This window comes from Homo sapiens, chromosome 2 (assembly GCF_000001405.40).
Source record: "Homo sapiens chromosome 2, GRCh38.p14 Primary Assembly".
NCBI classification, from domain to species: domain Eukaryota; kingdom Metazoa; phylum Chordata; class Mammalia; order Primates; family Hominidae; genus Homo; species Homo sapiens.
The window spans coordinates 64,983,399-65,003,664 of record NC_000002.12 but is presented as its reverse complement, the minus strand read 5'-3'; the positions used below and the strand labels follow the sequence as shown (position 1 = coordinate 65,003,664).

Sequence of the window (20,266 nt, the reverse complement as noted above, 5' to 3'; positions counted from 1 at the left end):
ACAATTTTATGCTGATAATTTGATATTTCCTCAGCCTTATATGTCATATTATTTGAATAACCTTGGCATTAACTCCATAATGCCAAAGTTCATTTTTCATTGTATCATTTTATTTCCATTCATTTATTTATGCCCCACTTTGTTCTAGAACTTATTTGAGCATGACTGCTTCTACCGTCTCTTTCTAATCTGGCTTGAGCCTCCACTCTTGAAAGCCAGGGATGTGAGGCAAGATGGCATCATCTAACTGAGTCTTCAGGGGGACTCAGTTATCAGAAGTGAGACGTCTTTCTAGCTTTGGTCCCCTGGTTGATTTCACATGCTTCTGCATGGTGCACATAGGTGTCTGCCTGTGGCAGTATGTACTAACAAGTGGAATCTGTTAGTACAGTCCTTCCTGGCCCCTTCGAAGGGCACCTGGTCCTTGAACTGTCAGGAGGAGGCAATTAGGAAGTATAGACTTGAAGGCCTGCTTTCTGCCTGCCCTTGCTGGGCTCTGGTTTCTCTCAGCTTTATCAGTGTTACAGAAAGGCAGAGGTGTTCAAACAAACCCACCCGCCTCCTCTGTGACAGGCACTAAAAAAAGCCCCATATACCTATATTTTTTTCCTACCTCACATTATATATACAAGTCACTCCTGTGCTTATATGCAGATCAAAAAACAAAACAAAACAAAAATGAGAGGTTTAAGTAGAAACAGAAAAGTCTTTCATTGTAAAAAGCAATCAGATTAGACCATATAATCTAGGCCTTTATATTCCTTCTCTGTGTAAAGAATGGTCATAGGAGACCAGGCACAGTGGCTCACGCCTGTAATCCCAGCACTTTGGGAGGCCGAGGCGGGCGGATCACAAGGTCAGGAGATCGAGACCATCCTGGCTAACACGGTGAAACCCCATCTCTACTAAAAATACAAAAATTAGCTGGGTGTGGTGGCAGGCGCCTGTAGTCCCAGCTACTTGGAAGGCTGAGGCAGGAGAATGGCGTGAACCTGGGAGGCGGAGCTGGCAGTGAGCCAAGATCGCGCCACTGCACTCCAGCCTGGGCAACAGAGTGAGACTCTGTCTCAAAAAAAAAAAAAAAAAAAAAAAAAGAATGGTCACAGGACTGTTACTTGCAGCATTGCCAAAAAATAGGGGAAAACCAGAAACAACCTGAACATCCATCGGTAGGGGACTAGTAGAGGAGAATTATGTTATACTCTTACAATGGAATACTCTACAGCCGTGGCGTTATGCAGAAGGGTAGCTACCGACATGAGAAAATATTCACAATATACTGCCTTAAAAAAAAACAGCAGGCTATGAAGCAACATGTGTAGTGTGTGTCCATACTATGTATGCTTATCTTTATTTTATTATTTATTTATTTATTTATTTATTTTGAGATAGAGTCTCACTCTGCTGCCCAGGCTGGAGTACAGTGGTGTGATCTCGGCTCTCTGCAACCTCCAACTCCCAGGTTCGAGCAATTCTCCAGCCTCAGCTTCCTGGGTGGCTGGGGTTACAGGTGCACGCCACCACACCTGGCTAATTTTTGTATCTTTAATGGAGACGGGGTTTCACCGTGTTGGCCAGGCTGGTCTTGAACTCCTGACCTCAAGTGATCCACCCACCTTGGCCTCCCAAAGTGCTGGGATAACAGGCATGAGCCACTGCGCCCAGCCTGTATGCTTATTTTTAAAATGTATGTGTATACACGCATAGAAAAAACATATCTGAAAGAGGTATACCAAAATAATGGGTAGCTCTAGACAGTGACTATGGATGATTTTTGTTTTCTGACACTTCTTTGTATTTTATTTTATTTTTTTGCAGTGAGCACATATTATCTTTATAGTCAGAAAAAAAGATAAAAGTGTATTTTTTTAAAAAAGTGTACAATATTTAAGACATCCCCAAAATGTGATTTGAGGGTATTTCTTAGGTAATGTAAACAAATTTTGGAACCAGTGGGACATTTTGGAAAGTTTTGTTTGTTCAGTCTTTATTTATTTATTTTATTGTTGTTGTTTTTTAACTCTAGGTACCCATTGATAAAAGTTTAGGCCAATCTTACCAAGTTTTGTTAACACCACCATCTCTCCCTGTTCTACCTTACCTAACTCTATAGCAGTAATTGGTACATTTCTTCCATCAAAGTTTCATATTTTTAGCAAAGTATCAAGCCTTACCGTACGGAAAGCTGCAACCACAAGATTGGAGGGAAACAGGTTTCTGTTGGAAAAGAAAGCATTCTGTCAGTATTCTTTTAAAACAATTTTTTAGAGATGAGGTCCCTGTTGCCCAGGCTGGAGTGCAGTGGTGTGATTGCAGCTCACTGCAGCCTTGAACTTTTGGGCTCAAGTGATCCTCCTGCCTCAGCCTCCCAAAGTGTTGGGACTACAGGCGTGAGCCATGGTACCTGTCTTCATCAGTATTCTTAAAATTCAGTGTGCAAAGTATCTGCTTTGAGATGTCCACTTCTAAAACCCTAACACAGTGTTCTCTCTCCACCCCTAGCTGACACTGCACCTTTTGCTTGATTTAAGCACCCTAACTGTGCCTGCGCTGCTGGGCCACAGTAGATACTTTGAAGCCACTGATTTTCATTTCCATCTCTCTCATGGTACTCCTTGATATCTGAACTTAATGGTGTCCAACCAAGTCTATAACTGCATTGCTTTCCTCTCACCTAGAGGTTAGGCACCATTGCAGTGGTTTGCAATGTCAAGTGTCACTGCTCACTAGTGAAATCCAAGGGCGTTTTTGTTGTTGCAAAATTGAGGCATTCCCCAATTGGGGGGAGTGTGTAGGGAGAAATGCCAGGTCCCACACATTTGTCCTGTTAAATGCAGTAGAGTCCTGTATAATGAATTATCTCAAGGCCCTCCAATGTCTTGCATGACATACGTGTAGATAAAAACCTTATCTATAATTACTCAAGACTAAACTAATTCCAAAACAAGGTTCTGTTTTTCACAATTTGAACATACGCTGAATTTTCCAGAAGTGTAACTCCTTGTAAATTATGGGGTGGTTTTTGTTTTGCTTTGTTCAGAATGTTTCCAAATATTATTTGTCTTCCTGGAAAATCACACCACCAGTGCAAATTGTAGAATCTGAGTCCCTAATTCCACACCCAGTGTCAAGTAACAGTCTGCATTTATAACTATTTCATTAGCAGTGATTCTGAGTTCAGGAGTAAGCATTCAACCACTTTATTTTAGAGCATGTATATATTGAGACACATTGTTTTTGTTATAATTATTTTCCTTTTGTATATTACAGTTACATCATATTGATATTTTGAAATTATGTGGGCAGGGACATTTTATTTATGGATTTCATCTTAGAATTAAGGATATTATAAACATTTGTTATAAAAGTAGGGCAATCGAGCTGATGGAGCCCAAAATCTGTTCATGCAAATAGTTTTACTGAGGGCTCTGTGTAGGATGCTGGTCTTGATATACAAGAAATTCTATTCCAGCTGACAGTCCATTTGTTCTCACTTCCTGCAAGAAGAGTAAGTCTAGAAGAGCAAAAGACTCTGGATCATTCTTAACAATTTGTGTCAAACTTATCCACTAATTCTTACTTCTGTAAGAAGCTGGGTTGCTCACCAGGATCTCCAGGCAACTATTTGCAGTGCATTGGGTTTCAGAGGTAGGCAGGTCTGGCTGCAACCCAGCTGTGGCAGGCAGAGTCTAAGATGGCCTCCTGGTATTCACACCTTTGGGTAATCCCTTTAGTCTGGGTGGACCTATGACTTGCTTCTAATGAACAAATGCAGCAAAGGTGATGGGATGTCACATCCACGATTTGGTTACATAAGGTTGTAGCTTCCATTGTGCTAGCTGACTCTTCTTATTGTCTTCTGCTTGCATACTTTGATGAAGCAAGCTGCTATGTTAGAAAGGCCCACGAGACTAGAAACTGCAGGTGGTCTCCAGCCAAGAGCCAACTGAGGCTCCCAGTCCAAACTTCAAGGAACTGAATTCTGCCAACAACAACATGACCTCAGAGGTGAATCTCTCCCCAGGTGGACCTGTGGGTAAGAACCTAGCCCTGACCAACACCTCCGATTGCAGCCTTGTAAGAGACTCTGAAGCAGAGGACCTAACTAAACTGTCCCAAGATTCCTGACCCCAGAGAGACTGTAGGATAGTAAATATGTGAGATTTTAAGCTGTTTAAGCTGTTAAATGTGTAGTAGTTTGTTATGCAGCAATGTATCAGCCAACAAAGTTAATAAGATGCAAAAATCAATGCATTAGAACACTTAGGGTGCTCTCACAGGACGGCCAGCATACACAGCCTGCAACACAGCATTTCCCAAACTTGTCCATAGAACCTGAGTTGCTTTTAGCATATTTAGAGAATACCAGAGTACATGTCTGCATTTAAGCAGAAAAAATTAATCTTTAGCTGAATTAAATTGTTGCAAAACTGTGACCAGAAGTTTGATTCTTATCACAGCTATATTTACTTTTTAAAAAGTAGAAACAGACTAGCAACTTATATTGGCTAGTTTTCGGAGTATAGATGAATAACAACTTACATTTGTTATTATTTCCATTACAAAGCAACTTTCTTACATATTTTAGTCTTGGGGACTACCTTTGGCATTTCATTTCCATTTTCTGCCCTAGTCAGAAGCAGCAAGGGGCCCTGTGCCAAAGTCTCTCTGTTCTGTATCCACCACACAACAATCCTCAGTTGTTGACAGACTGAGCTGCTCTAAGTTTCTCTTTCCATGAGGACCGGGAAGTTCAGAAAAGAGTTGGGTTAGAAGACCTCCACTTTCCTCATGGGAAACAATTTCCCCCGGCAAATACCTCACATCCTTCAGGGATTAGCTGTTTCCTCAATTGGTACAAGCACAGCCTTTCCCACAGCCTTGAATGCATTCTCTTCTAAAGAGCACAACACTATTTGTTTAATTCTGTCTATCTGTCCTGCCCAATCTTTTCATACAAGCAATAACCCAGTAACATCTCACCCAGAACAGGCCCTGTCCTTAACCCAGAACTTCTACACCTAACAGCCACTGGCACACCGACCTGTTTTCAGACTGTCTACAATATCTAGTCTGCAAAATCCAATGGGAACAGAGGGGTCCAGAAGCAAAAGAGCAACTTCTGCCCCCCAAAAATCAAGTTCCTAAGAAAAATGTGATGTGTTTTGACAGTTTCTGATAAAGTTAAACATACACTTACCATAGGACTCACCAATTCCATTCCTAGATTTTTTTTTTTTTTTTTGGAGACAGAGTCTCACTTTGTTGCCCAGGCTGGAGTGCAGTGGCAGATCTCGGCTCACTGCAGCCTCCGCCTCTGGGTTCAAAAGATTCTCCTGCCTCAGCTTCCCGAATAGTTGGGACTACAGGTGTGCACCACCACGCCCGGCTAATTTATTTATTTATTTATTTATTTATTTATTTTTCTGAGACGGAGTCTCGCTCTGTCTCCCAGGCTGGAGGGCAGTGGCGTGATCTCGGCTCACTGAAAGCTCCGCCTCCGAGGTTCACACCATTGTCCTGCCTCAGTCTCCCGAGTAGCTGGGACTACAGGCGCCCGCCACCACACCTGGCTAATTTTGTTTTTGTATTTTTAGTAGAGACGGGGTTTCACCATGTTAGCCAGGATGATCTCAATCTCCTGACCTCGTGATCTGCCCCCCTCAGCCTCCCAAAGTGCTAGGATTACAGGCGTGAGCCACTGCGCCTGCCAATTTGTATTTTTAATGCAGACAGGGTTTCACCATGTTGGCCAGGCTGGTCTCAAACTCCTGACCTCAAGTGATCTGCCCACCTTGGCCTCCCAAAGTGCTAGGATTACAGGCATGAGCCACCACGCCCGGCCCACTCCTAGATATTTACCCAAGAAATATAAAAATATATGCCTGCAAAAAGGAACTGTATGCATAACAGCGTTATTCATAATAGTCCAAAACCCAAATGTCCATCAACAGATGAAGGGATACAAAGATTATGAAAACTCCATACAACGGAATACCACTTGGCAATAAAAAGGAGCCAAGTGATATACGCAACAACATGGATAATCTCAGCAACACTGTGCTGAGCAAAACAAGACTGACAAAGGAGAGTGCATACTGAATGATTCTGTTGATATGAAACTCTAGAAAAAGCCAAACTAATTTATAGTGATAAAAAGCAGGTCAGCTGCCTGAGGCCAGGGGTGGAGAATGGGGATTGCTGAGAAGAGTCATAGGTGATGGAAAAGTTCAGTATCTTGATTGTGGTGGTGGTCACATGAGTTATCCATTTGTCAGAACTCATTGAACTGGACCTTTAAAGTGGGTGCATTTATTGTATATAAATCCTACCTTGAAATTGTTTAAAAACTTATATAAAAAAGTATGGTAATAACTGTTAGAGATTTTCCAACTAAAAAATACGTACATTCAATGGGAGGGCTGAACTTTTTTTTAGATTATACAGCTCATTTCTCAGATAACAATCTCTGGGAAGGGCTCTCCTGGTGGCAGTGAGCTGAAGCACCATAGAAAGCATCCTCCTTTGCTTTCATCCTCTGCTTGCCACAGACCAAGAGCAGGAGCAGTGCCCTCCTGCTGTCACCAAGGGCAAGGAGATGAGGCTGCCAGAATAAAGCAACATGTTTCTCTGTCCTCTACTTTCCCTCTCTCCTTTGGCTTTCAGACACAGATGCTGCGGTAAACTCTGGTTCTTACTCCTGAGCTCTCTTCTAATCCGGGATCAGCTGCCTCTCTGGCAAACAGTTTTGCTTCCCAGAGCTCTGTCTTCAGGCATTTTTCCCAACTCCTCATGTTCACACAGTAGCTTCATGGGCTTTTGAAATCAGAGACAGTGAGCTGGAAGGGATTTTAGAGGTGATCCAGTTCTATCCCCTCATTTAGCACATAGAGACACCAATGCCCAGTCACTGAGCATCTCCCATTTCTGCTCCATCTAGGCCAGCACTGTCCAACTGAAATGCCTGCATTTGTGCTGCCATGTTGGACTATAGAGCACTTGAAATGTAGCTAGTGCCACCAAGGAACTGATTTTTAAGTTTTATTTACATTTGAAGTAATTTTAAATAGCTACATGTGGCTAGTGTCTATTGTATTGGACAGCCCAGATGTAGAGTACTGAAATCCAGAGTCCAGAAGTCAGGAGGACCAAATGGTCATCCTGTGTTCGCCTCTGCACATCACCCACTTTCACTGGGTGTTAGGATGCTTCTAAGCACTGAGCTCCTCATCTTATTCAAGTTTGCAAATATTTCCTTTTTCTGTTGTTTGATCCTGAGAGATCTACTTGAATTACATATGTATTAGGCCAAAGTTTCTCAAATATCAGTAGACCATTAAATCAGTGTATTGGCTTTAACCAGTATTTTATAAAAGATGAAATACATTAGACAAAAATATCAGTATATATCACACTTAAAATATTGTTTGGTGGAACCTGTGTTTTGGTTTGAGTATGTGGGAGTTGGGGGGCGGGTATAGTGTGGATGCCATAATGTAAAATGTACTTTTTATGGTAGGTCAAAATTAAAAACGTGTGAAACCTCTAAGATACACTACTAAATCTAGAGGCCCAAGTCAGTCCAAGCCAGGAGATAATGAATGAACAAGCTTTTCCAGCGCTATAAGACTCTTTGAATACATTACTTAAAACAAACAGAAAAACTGGTATGAAATGAGGTTGAACTGGCCAATGCAGAACCACTGTGGGAGGTGCTGTGCAGACCCATGCAGCTCACACAGTGAAAAACTTCAAAAACGTTCTGTAACATCTGATACTGTTTGTTCTTCTGATCCTATTGTCAAGGGTGGTATGCATTTCTCTGTTCTATATGAAAAGAATGTAAAACAATTTACTTTTGCTTGGGCATATTTTGTTCCAGAATTATTTCCTTTTATTTAAGTTCAAAAATTCTTTACCAAATCTATTAAAATTTCAAAGACTCTTCAGAACAGGATATGGCATGGTATGTACACCTGATAAATATTTATTATCGCTAGTATTTATTGTAACAGAGCCAGTTAACAGGGATGTGACCCTTCAGATCTTGGTACCCCCTACAAGGCTGAGCTGAGGAAGGGCTGGGGCTGGTGGACTTGCACTCTGATGATGGGGGTGTGAATCCATCCTCTCTTTAAGGCCTCCATCCAGTTTTAGATTCCAGCTGGAAAGGGTAAGGCTGAACCCCTGGAGTGGGGATCTTTTGGGGGAAATTAAGTTAAGAGCAGCATTCATGCATCATATCAAATAGCCCTCAGCTGTCCCTGAGAGGGTGGGACACACTAGAATATTGGCAAAGCACTCATATATTAACTCATTTAATCCTCACAACCATTCTAGGTTGTAGGTCTCACTAGTCTCATTTTACAGATAAGGACACTCAGGCACAGAGAGGACAAACGACTTGTGCACGTACAGCAAGTACGTCATAGAGCTGGGCTTCAAACCCAGGTGGTTGGCTTTAGTGTCTGCTCTTCATCACTACCCACCTCCCTAGGTTGATGCTTTTTTCTGTCTCTAAACTATTCAGGTGTCCTCCTGGGAGGTAAAAGAAATGGTCAAGAGTGAGAACCTTTTTTTAAAAAAAATTACAAGCTGCTATTATTTTCCTTTCATCACTAGTTAGGCTGAGACAATGCCATTAATTTGGATCCTTGTTAGATGTGCTGTCTTCATCTTGCCTATAGAAGAGACATGGGCATAGTTACAACAACCCGCCACAGTCAATAATGTAAAGAAATTGTTCACAACTCACTCCTCAACTTTGCCATCTGGTGGCTAATATTACTATTTATTTTAATTTAAAAAATATGGAACGCTTCACATTGGAACATCACGTTGTGTGTCATCCTTGCACGGAGGCCACGCTCGTCTCCTCTATTGTTCCAGTTTTAGTATATGTGCTGCCAAGGCAAGCACAGGGGGCTAATATTAAATCTCAGTCTCTGATAGTTTTTTTTTTTTTGCACCTATTCAAGTAATGTGTTCTTTGCAGCTTGAGAAGCATCATACATATTCACACCAGTCCTTGAGAAGGAGGTACGTCCAGCACACCTCCCTCTGTGAAGGGAAAGGCTCAGAGCATGGTTTGCTATTAAGAAAATTAGCACGAGCAGTGAAAAAAACCCTAGAAAACTGGGCAACAGACAAAATCCTAATTGTATTTACCATATACATGGCCACACCCTACTATGCTACTGCAAGATGGTGGCCCTCGGCCATTCTTCTGGCTGCCAGCACAGACCAGAGCCCTGGGCCTAGGCTCTGTCCCTACCTGCCTCCTTGGCAGTTACACCTTGGTTCTCCATTTGAAAACTACAAACTTTAGAGCCCAAAGGAATGTTAGAAACCATTTGCCTCAATCCCTTCAATTTATAGCGGAGGTCAACTGGAGATCATAAGCATGTAAGGCAGGGGAAAAAGAAACCGGAATGTCAGTGAGAATCTGTGGGGACTTCTGTCCCATTTCAGAATGGAAGGCTCTTCTGTGTTTAGTTTTGACTTCTCTCCCTTTCCAAATTTTCCATAGTGTGACTCTATTAATTAGTAGTCTAAAACATAGTCAGTTACTGTTCACTTCTCCTCCAGATGCCATGTGGTTCCCAATACACCTAGAGACTACATTAGCTTCAAGTCATCTTGAGTTCCCCTAAACATTCCTCTTCTTCCCATCTACCCTCATTTATTTCAGGTTACGGAAAGAGGGCCATCCCCATTAGCTCAGGTGAACTGGAAAACCCAATCACTCTATTTATAACAAGAGCACAGGTGTATTGGGCCAGCACTGTTCTAACAGCTTTAGAACCCAGAAGAGCTTTAGAGCTCTTAGACACAACCCAGCTAACCCTCAGAACAATCCTGCGAGGTGGGTACCATCATGATTCCCATAATAAAGATGAGGAAACCAAGGAATGGAAAAGTTATGGACATGTCCCACAACCAGTAAGCATTGTTAGGGACCAAGAAGTTCCACAATGACTAGTTTCCTGATAACCTGTTTCTGTCTCTTTGGTGCCCAACCATTTCATTTTGGATAAAAACCCACAAGTCAACCACTTAGGTCACACATGGTTCTGAAAGTCCTATACTGTTCTGGATTCCCAGGCACAGAACTCCGGGCTGCTCAGGAAGAGACTATGATTCTTCCACCTGCCAGCTACTATTGGCCATCCCTTCTCATTGCTTCTAGCTCCAGCCTTCTCATCCCAATTCTCTATTCTACATTGTTATTTCTAACCCATTGTGTGCTGGGAAATCAAACCACTCAGCAATGACATTCTGAATTTTAAAAAAACATATACACATGTAATGAATACCTACTAGCTTCATCTCTTTCTGACTTGTAGTTCCAGCTTTAAAAACCAAATTAGAAATCATGACAGAGAGACCCTGGGGGATTTGGGGGCACTTTACCATCAGGAAAGGGCATGGACTTTAGCACAAAGCCTCAGCAGCAGCTATGCTGACTCATCAGAGGCCTTTCCCACTCTTCCAGGTGTTTAAGTTCTGAGCAGCTACCTCGAGAGGGCCTGCTGGATAACTGAGGCGTTTACTGGCAGAGTCTCATTTCATTCACGTGCCCCTAGGAAGAAAGGAATGGGGCACTGCCTTTCCAAAGAAGATGCCCAGAGTCACATGAAATCCACATCCGTGAAGTTTCCTTGAAGGAAGCAATTTTTTAATTTTGATGTCAGAGACTCTCCAGACTCAGGAAGCATTTCCGGGTGGCTTGGGACTTAGTTTCCTTTCACAAGCTGCTTCAGCCTGAGACCAAACCTCAGCGGTGCACACATACTTTCCTTCACTTGAGGAGCTCAGCCTCCACGCTGGCTGGAGGAAAGGAGCATTTGTCTTTACCCAGTCATATGCCTACCTGGTTCCTCTCTGGGCCCAGAGAAAGCATTTCTGAGATAGCCACACTAGACTAGGCAGGTGACATTACTAAGGCATGTTGACTTGGAGGAAGAGGGATTAGGAGAAAGAGAGAGAACCCTGCACTGTGGGGTAGGAGACCCACAGTCCTTCTAATCTCTTCTTTATAAGCCACTCCATGACCTTGAGCAAATCGCTTAATCTCTGTCTCAGTTTTGTCAGTCATAAAATGGGATATACCACCTGCCCTACCTTTATCCGTGAGCTGCTGGATTAGATGAAGTTGGCTGTTGGAAGAATTATGAAGCAATACCTATCCCCAGCAAGCCACAACAAAGCCTCTCTTAGCCCTCCATGCAGGTGCAGCCCAAGTCATTGAAAAGTTGCACCCACACTACTAAGCTATGACGCTGGGTCACCATCCATGTCAGAAGCAGGAGGTGAAGGGGCTTGGGTCTAAAACTAGAAAACCATGATCAGGAAACAAGAAGTCCCTTCAGGAGGTAATGAGGTACCCCCTACCACCACTGCCCCCTCTTCTGGAGTTAAAAGATCCTATTGAGGCTCCCGGTGCGGGACCATAGCAGGACAGAGCTGAACATCCATTCTCCCTCCCTGGGCCACAGATCCCTGCAAAGAATAATCCTTTAACCCCATTATTGCCTTTCCTCCCTGAGAGAGCTGACCGACCTCCTACAGGTAATAGGCTAAAGGTGCTCTCAACCTCAGGAGACTTCTTTTCAGCACTCACCTAAAAGTTAGTTTCCAAACTTAAAAAGTGTCTGGACTCCAAATATCAAGCTGCCAGTCACAGAACAAAGGCTGTGATCTAGACCAGCCTGGGCAGCATAGTGAAACCCCATCTCTAAAAAAATTTAAAACAGTTAGCTGGGGCCAGGCAGGGTGGCTCACACCTGTAATCCCAGCACTTTGGGAGGCCGAGGCGGGTGGCTCACGAGGTCAGGAGATCAAGACCATCCTGGCTAACATGGTGAAACCCCGTCTCTACTAAAAAATACAAAAAATTAGCCGGGCGTGGTGGCACGCGCCTGTAATCCCAGCTACTCGGGAGGCTGAGGCAGGAGAATGGCGTGAACCCAGGAGGCGGAGCTTGCAGTGAGCCGAGATCGCACACTGCACTCCAGCCTGGGTGACAGAGCGAGACTCCGTCTCAAAAAACAAACAAACAAACAAACAAAAAGCTGGGTGTGGTGGTGTGCACCTGTAATCTCAGCTACTCTGGAGACTGAGGCAGGAGGATCGCTGAAGCCTAGGAGTTCGGGGATGCAGTGAGCTAGGATCCCAACACTGCACTCCAGTCTGGGCAAAAGAGCAAGACCCAGACTTTAAAAAAAAAAAAAAAAAAAAAAAGCTGTGATCCCCTTAAAAGTCCTAATAGGCCACCACTATCTGCCCTTTTGGCAAGAACTTTTGGTCTCCCTCATGAGTGGTTTTTTTTTGTTGTTGTTTGTTTGTTTTTAAATACGGATGTCCTAGATTTTTGTTGTTTTAAGTGAACAATCTCTCTCTTAAGTGCAGACAGCCATCACATTTTCCAGAAGGAGAAATGGAAACAGTTGGAAAGGCAAGTCACTTTGCCCAGGGTTTGCTGTTTTTCACAACCTCAGCAATGAGGAGCTTTGCCTCAATAACTCAAGACAAAATATATTAATAACTCCAAGGCTCAGAATCCAAAATCATCAGAAATCTGGAGAAGGAGCCAGCTGGACTCCTCACTCAACTGAACCTGGTTAGATCAGTAAATGCCTCCGGGCTGCAGTTTCCCCATTTGTGAACTTTGGGCTAATGGAGAAACCAGGAGAGACCAAGGTTTTGGATAAGTCACAGAAAGGATACTACATCATCTCAAAGGATGAAATGCAACTTCTAAGAATTGCAAAAAGCAGGCAAAACTAAGTGAAGATGCTTCTCTCCCTCCCCTCTAGAACTCACACTTTCGCACAAAGAAAGGCCTTTGAAACACAGCACTCTGCCGTGGTCTTTACTGGGGTGGACAGCAACCTGTCCCAAGCCCCAAGCCCTCAGGAGAGGCATATTTCTGGGCAATATGTCTCACTCAACTAACCCCAGCCCTATTATCCGTGGGTCCACTGATAACTGCAGAAAATTGCCAGCTTCCTTCGCAGCCAAGGACTGTAACAGAGAAGGCCATAGATTGCAAGCCGGATGACCCAAGAGGCAAAACTTAACCAATGCTCCCAGAAGCTTTTAGGCACCATGTGGGAGAAAATGAGGCGAAGCCACTGGGGCGTGGTCGGAACATTTTTACCGGGGAGAGCAGCGCGAGAGTATAAGGAGTAAAGAACAGGCGGGGCGGCTGGCTCTTCCCTAACAAACGCCCACCTAACGGTGGGGACTGGTTCTTGCTCAAAGATGCGGCCCTGCTCTTTCGATTGTGCGGTGCGCCCCAGCTGTTTGCAAAGGTGTGGTCAGCACGCAAAAACTCCAGACGTCATTTTGATATTTTTAAAACGTTAAACGCCACCAGCAGCCAGCTAAGAATTAACTCTTAGGAGTGTATAAGCATATGGGTGTATGAACTGGAGGGCATCCGAGAACTGGCGTCTCCCACTGGGCCCTGGGAGAGGTGGAGAGTGTTACCTGGCCAGGTCGAGGAAAGAGTCCACCGTCTCTTTGGGGACAGGAGGAGGCCCCGAGTCCTCCAGCCCCAGGTCGCTGGACTGAAGGGTCTGCGCACCGGATCCTGGCTTGATGATGAACGCCAAGGCCACGGCGAGCGCCGAGGCACTCAGTGTGGTGAGGCCAAAGTAGGCGACAGCGATGCCGCCCAGACGCCCGAGGCAGCTGGCATCGAGCGAGGCGGCGCCCGACACCAGGCTGCAGACCACCAGCGGCAGGATGATCATGCGCAGCATGCGGAGCAGCATCTCGCCGGGGAAGGCCAGGTAGGTGACCTGCGTGCGGCTCAGGCTGAGCCCGCGCAACGCCGCGCCCAGGCCCGCGCCCGCCAGCACCCCGGACACGGTGAGCAGCACCAGCGCTTGGCGCCGCAGGAAGCCCGCGCAACGCCGTGCGCGTCCCGCCGCGGTCCCCGGAGCTCCGGGCCCGGCCGCAGGCCCCGCCTGAGCGCTGTCAAGGTAGCCGTTGGTCTCGTTGCTCTTCTCCATGGCGCTACACGCCGCTCCGAGCTAGAGGTGGCAGGGGACGTGGGCTCTGGCAAAAGACGGGGTTCCCAATGAATGGGTCGGTCGGCCAGTTGTGCTCCGCAGGTTCTGGGAAGCCGCCCCGGGGGTCTCCGGGCCTGGCGCAGGAGCAGGTGCGAGAAAGGCGAGGAGAGGCGCAGAGTGCGGGTTGGAGCCGCGGGCGGAGAGGATCGCGCCCAGCCTCCCTGGAGCAGCCGCCGGCTGGAGATGATGCAAACGGGAGCCGCGAACGCGGACGCAGACGGGGAAGTAGGAGGGCGCGCCAGCGGCCCCAGCCCGCTCACTTCACGCCCGCCGTCCCGCCCCCTGTGGCGCTGGCCAATCACAGCCCGGGAGCCGCCGCCGGGAGCCGCCGCCGGGAGCCTCTGGTCCCCACCCGTGTCGCGGGTGCCGCAGGGGGCGGCCGGGCGGGAGGCTCCACCCGAGGCCGCGGGGGCGCGGGCGGCGCCGGCCAATCCTGGCGCCAATAGCCGCCTACCCGCCCGGCTAACGGAGGCCGGCTCCGGGCGACCGCGGGGAAGTGCGGGCTGAAGGACCGCCCGGGCTCCTTGGCACCTGCCGGGCCCTCTCCCGCGGCCGGGATCTGAGTCCTCGGGGCCAGAGGGCCCGGGAGAACTTAGAACGCAGCGGCGTTCCTCCTCCTGAGGACTGTGGGAGGGGAGGGAGGGGAGGGGAGAAGAGAGGAGGAGAGGGGAGGATCCCTCTCTCCCGGGTGGCGCTTTCGCCCCGCGCGGCCCGCGCTCCTCTCCAGAGCTCGCCGGCCTCTCCCGCCAGGGGGCCGGGCGCGGTGAGGGGGCCCGGGGCGGTCCTGCCGTCGCGTCCCCTCCTGCGGAAGATCCCTTCTTCCAGGGGTCCTCAGGGGCTTGTGCGGTAAAGCACGCCATGGTGCCCAGCAAGGCCCCGGCCTTGAGACAAAGGACGGACCGGAGGATGGATGAATAAGGGGAGCCTTCGCACGCGCTCATTAGGGCTCTAACGCAGCCATACCGCTAGAGAAAGGGGGCTCGCTGTGCCACCAAACCCGGCGCCCCTGGGCCGCGGAACCGCGCGCACCGGGGCGCTCCTGGGCTTGTGTCCTGGGGCCATCAGGATGGGGCTGGGTCGCCCGCCAGGCAGCTGTCTGCGGTATGGGCGTTTAAGACGCAAAGCTCTTCTAGAAGAAACAGAGCTCTCACGCCACCACTTCCAGTTGGTTTCTGCCACGTAACCAAAGCTGAAACACAAGCCACTGGATTTTAACCTCTTCCGTTCCCAGGCCTGAGCCCTGGCGAGAAAACAGCGCAGACGGCGGTTTGGCCATCCTGAACGGTTCCTTATTGTTCACGTTCTATGGATTTCCTGTTTATTTCATCTTTTATTTGATATCTGCTTTGGCCACGCGAGTTACAAGGGAAACTTCTGCTGAGTCTTTTTACTGTATCACAGTTATTATATTTTTATATTTTTTTATTCTGCTTGTGAATTGTTCTTTAAAGACTTCCGTGGGTGGTCTTTTGTTTTTTCTTTTTCCTTCCTTCCTTCCTTCCTTCCTTCCTTCCTTCCTTCCTTCCTTCCTCCCCCCCTCCCTCCCTCCCTCCCTTCCTTCCTTCTTTCCTTCTTTCCCTTTCTTTCCTTTCTTTCCTCTCTTTCTGGGACAAGGTCTCGCTATGTTGCCCAGGCTGGTCTCCCAGTTCCTGGGCTTATGGGATCCTCCTTGGTAGCTGGCACCACCCACTGTGCCAGGCAAGGGAAGACTTAATTGTGGCTAACCTCAATTAAGGAGGAAGGCAATTTACTATAGATTTCTTGCTATAAAGGAGTCATCTTAAAACATGTCATGACATATTTGTGCAAATCAAAATGCCTTCATAAGGAACTTTAAGGAGCTGTCCAAATTTTGAGACAGTGAGTATTTTATTGCTTGGAGCCAGCCAGCTATTGGCTAGAACTTGTAAGGATTGTGTGTGGGGGGGGGGGGGGTGGGCGGGGGAGGTAGTGTCAGATGAAGAGCTGCACATATTTATATCTGGCTTTCCAGAATGCAGTTCATTTCTCTATGTGCACTGAAGAAAGAGTAATTCCTACAGACACACACTGTGTTTTGCCAATCAGCCCTTCCCTTTGTTTTGACTACCACGTTTATGCAAAAGACTCTCAAATCATGCTCCAGAAATGAGTCTTCGGCTGCCTGTTTTACATCTTCACCTGAATATCCTGCAGGCGTCCCAACTAAAATGTTCAAAACCAAACTCATGGTTGCCTTCCTCAAACCTGCTCATCCCTTCGGTTAAAACATAATTGATGACCCAGTCACCTCTGTGTGAAACTTCAAAGCGAACTTTGATTCTTCCCTCTGTGGTGCCTTCTCTCATCTAATGAATTGCCAAGTCCCACAGAGATTCCTTTCACAATATTTATCACATCTGCCCATCCCATCTATTCCCACTGCTACCACACTGGCTCAGTTCTTATTTCCTCACTTCTTATCTGGGCTATTGAAATGTTCTCCCAATTAGTCTTCCCACCTCCAATGCTCCTCTTGTTCCAACCATCCTGTATTTTGCCTTGCCCCAGGCTAATCTTCCTAATGAGTAATATACATGTTAGGATAAAGTTCAGCTTTCACCCAGCAGAAAAGAAAGAGCAATGAGGGCATGGCATCTCTCTTTAAAAACACTTCCTAAAAGTCATACACATTATTTCTCTTATATTTCATCGATAAGAATTTAGTCAAATGACCATTCTTTTCTGCAAGAAACGTTAGGGAATGTAATTTTTGTTTTACACAGGCATCCACCCAGTTAAAAAATTGGAGTTTCTGTTACTAAGGAAACACAGAAAAATGATATTGGAGGACAACTCCTTCATATCACTTCTTGTTCAAAAGCTTTCAGTGGCTCCCAGTGAATTAAGAATGTGTTCCTCATCCTGGCATTCGAGACCTACCATGATCTGGCCTCAGCCTGCTCTCTAGCCATGTGCCCTCTATGCCTCCTGCAAAAATGGCGCTGTGTGCTCCTTCCACATTGTTTTGCCTCTCCATCCAGTCCCAGTTCAGATACCACATTCCTCCCATAGCCTTTCTGAATCCTCTTTGCACCAACTCTGCTTGCTGCTTGCAGCTTTTTATGCTGTACCTGTGCACTCCAAAGCTGCAATAACAGTCAGTCAACCCTCAATTGGGAGTGGGGAACTCCCTGAACTACTAGACATCGTGTGGTGCTGAGTGTGAGAGCACTGTTTGGGGGTGCCTTATACTATGCCACATATATCTGTCATTGAATTAGCGAAAGGGTCTCTTGGGGCCTTTTATCTCCAGAGGGCTGCCCTGTAGCCATTCTGCCTACTTGTGAGGCAAACCAAGAAATAGGTGTCCTCTTCTGGCCTCCGTGACATTTGGTGGTATTACTATATCTCTCTATGAAAGGGTTCACTTTCTGCCACCTTTTTCCCTCTTTCTTCCTCTCCTTTTGCATTTTTTGGTCTTTTGATAATTTTACATGCCTCCTGTTTGTAGGTATTTTGTGCAAAAAAAAAGTTGATTCCTGTGTTAGACACCTTCCCCCACAGTACTTATATGTGTTTTCCCTGATTTCTGGATGCGTAAGTACTGAATTATAGCAACGCCTTACAAGTGATCCAGCCTGACAGCATTACCGCTACTGTCATCTGATCCCGTGATAGGCTAAAGTATTGTTCAGCCAAAATTTATTCCCTTGTTTCTTCCACTTAGATAGGAGTTTACCTTCCCCATTGCCTTTGAGCTTTGCCATTTAGCTCCTTGGCTAGTGGACTAAGTGGATGTGATGCAAGCGGAGGCATCAAAATGTTTTCACACAATCGCATGTGGACTCCTGCATACGTGTGACCCAGCATGCCTTGGGTAGATGCTGCCCTTTCAGCCTGGCACCAGAACAAAGACAGGAGTGTGCCTGAATTTAGCCTGCAGCCCTGATCAAACCCAGCTGCCTCACAGCCTAAAGAAGAACACCCCAGTCAACCCACAGACCCATGCGTGAGAAAAATAAATGCTTATTGAAACCCACTGAGTTCCGGAGTCATGTGTTATACTGCGTTATTGTAGCAATAACTGAGTAATACAAATGCTCACTTCAGCATCTGTTCCAGTTATCTGTTGCTGCATAACAAACCAGCCTAAACCACGCTGGCATAAAACAACAACCATCTCAAAAAGGAGTGGCATAAAACAACCACCAATTTTTTTATGCTCATGATTTTATAGGCCAGAAATTCAGACAGGGCATAACAGGAGGTCTCATTTCTGTTTCACAATGACTGAAACCCCAAGCTGGGGTGGCTTAATGGCTAGAGATGGCTAGGACAGCTCACTTGGGGTCCTTTGCCTGAGGCCTAGGTTCTGGCTATCTATTAGGATCCTCGTTTCTTTCCCACATTGCATCTATTGAGTCTGGAATGTCCAAGATGCCTCTTTCATTCACACGACTGGCACCTTGGCTAGTGGGTTTGGATCTGCTGGGGCTAGCTGGGCATCTGTTGCTCTCTCAGTGTGGCTAGCTTGGGTTTCCTCACAGTATGGCAATCTTGGTGAAGTCAAATCTCTTATGTAGTGATTGATTTCCCCCAAAGTGAGTGTCTTAAGAAATGTAGGTAGAAGCTGCAAGACTTCTTCTGACCTAACCTCAGAAGTCCCAGAACATTACTTCTTTCTCATTCTGTCAGTCAAGCAAATCATTAAGGCCAGCCCAAATTCAAAGGAGGAGAATTAGATCCCATCACTCCATGGTGGGAATAATCAAGAATTTGCAGCCATCTTCAATCCACAGTAACATTACTGCTTAAATACTCGTGTTTTGTGGGCCAGCGCAGCACACATAAGTCACTACTTGCCCTAGCTCTGGTGTTTCTTTAGACAACTCTACTAGAAATTTGCTTTGGACAGTCTCTCAATAAATGGTGCTGGGAAAACTGGATATCCATATGCAGAAGAATGCAATTAAACCCTCATCTCACACCATATACGAAAATCAACTCAAAATGGATTAAAAACTTAAATTTAAGACCTGAAACTGTTAAACTACTAGAAGAAAATATGAGAAATATGAGAAAAGCATCATGGCATTGGTATGGGAAATGATATTTTAAAAATATGACCCCAAAGCACAGGCAACAAAAGGGGAAACAGACAAATGGGATTATGTCACACTAAAAAGCTCTGCAGAGCAAAGGAAACAATCAACAGAAGGAAGAGACAACCTACAGAGTGGGAGAGTATATTTGCAAACCAGACATCTGATAAGCGGTTAATATCCAAAATATATAAGGAACTCAAACAATTCAACAGAAAGAAAACAAATAACCCGATTAAAAAATGGGCAAAGGACTTGAATAGACATATCTCAAAAGAAGGCATACAAATGGCCAATAAGTCTATAAAAAATGTTCAACATCACTAATTATCAGGGAAATGCAAATTAAAACCACAATGAGATATCACCTGACAGGTATCAGAGTGGCCATTAACAAAAAGAAGAAAGATAACAAATGTTATAGAGGATGTGGAGAAAGGAGAACACTTGCACACTGTTGGTGGGAATGTAAATTAGTATAGCCATTATGGACAACAGTATGGAAGTTCCTCAAAAAATTAGCAATGAAAACAGCAATCCCTGGATGTATATCCAAAGGATATGAAATCAGTATGTTGAAGAGATATCTGCACTCCCATGTTCATTGCTGCACTATTCACAGTAGTTGAGATATGGAAACAACCTGTCTATCAAAGGATGAATGGATAAAGAGAATGTGGTACATAAACACAATGGAATACTATTCAGCCTTTAAAAAGAAGGAAATCCTGTCATTTGCAACCACATGGATCAATCTGAAGGATATTTTGTTAAGGTAGGCACAGAAAGAGAAACCATATGATCTCATTTATATGTGGAATTTATTATACAAAAGTAGAACTCACTGATACAGAAAGTAGAAAGGTAGTTACTAGAGGCTGGTGATTGGGGGGATTGGAGATATGTTGGTCAAAGGAAACAAAATTTCAATTAGATAGGAGGAATAAGTTCAAGAGATCTATTGTACATGATGGTGACTGTAGATAATAACAATATATTGTATACTTGCAAGTTGCTAAGAGAGTAGTTTTAAAGAGTTCTTACCACAAAAAATAAGTATTTGCAGAAATGTGTATGTTAAATAGTTTAGGCATTCCACAATGTATACATATATCAAAACAT

General features: G+C 45.5%; 1 protein-coding gene and 1 pseudogene across 4 annotated transcripts in view, besides 5 other annotated features; both read right to left on the bottom strand.

Annotated features, from left to right (window-relative positions):
- SLC1A4 (solute carrier family 1 member 4) overlaps positions 1–15,186 on the bottom strand; it is a 35,387-nt gene extending 20,201 nt beyond the window's left edge. For 2 of the 4 annotated variants that reach the window (NM_001348406.2, NM_001193493.2), the window contains exons 1-2: positions 15,045–15,186; positions 2,175–2,217 (exon numbers count right to left, since the gene is read on the bottom strand). Coding sequence is in view for 1 of the 4 variants with exons in the window: in NM_003038.5 (NP_003029.2) it covers positions 2,175–2,217; positions 13,495–14,021 (570 nt within the window). In the remaining 3 variants the exon portion in view is untranslated. Of the gene's footprint in view, positions 1–2,174; positions 2,218–13,494; positions 14,267–15,044 lie in introns of those variants that run through there. The other 2 variants (NM_001348407.2, NM_003038.5) reach the window with 2 other exon arrangements.
- RNU6-548P (RNA, U6 small nuclear 548, pseudogene) lies at positions 8,805–8,919 on the bottom strand (annotated as a pseudogene).
- Positions 13,680–14,264: an enhancer, noted in NCBI's record as "H3K4me1 hESC enhancer chr2:65216535-65217119 (GRCh37/hg19 assembly coordinates)". NCBI's record gives its function as "activates a minimal SCP1, AML or CMV promoter by ChIP-STARR-seq in naive H9 embryonic stem cells {active_cell/tissue: H9 hESC(naive)}" and the evidence as "EXISTENCE:reporter gene assay evidence [ECO:0000049][PMID:30033119]".
- Positions 13,867–14,046: a silencer, noted in NCBI's record as "silent region_11571". NCBI's record gives its function as "represses an Ori minimal core promoter by ATAC-STARR-seq in GM12878 lymphoblastoid cells {active_cell/tissue: GM12878}" and the evidence as "EXISTENCE:reporter gene assay evidence [ECO:0000049][PMID:35858748]".
- Positions 14,257–14,956: a silencer, noted in NCBI's record as "silent region_11570". NCBI's record gives its function as "represses an Ori minimal core promoter by ATAC-STARR-seq in GM12878 lymphoblastoid cells {active_cell/tissue: GM12878}" and the evidence as "EXISTENCE:reporter gene assay evidence [ECO:0000049][PMID:35858748]".
- Positions 17,800–17,869: an enhancer, noted in NCBI's record as "active region_15922". NCBI's record gives its function as "activates an Ori minimal core promoter by ATAC-STARR-seq in GM12878 lymphoblastoid cells {active_cell/tissue: GM12878}" and the evidence as "EXISTENCE:reporter gene assay evidence [ECO:0000049][PMID:35858748]".
- Positions 18,180–18,249: an enhancer, noted in NCBI's record as "active region_15921". NCBI's record gives its function as "activates an Ori minimal core promoter by ATAC-STARR-seq in GM12878 lymphoblastoid cells {active_cell/tissue: GM12878}" and the evidence as "EXISTENCE:reporter gene assay evidence [ECO:0000049][PMID:35858748]".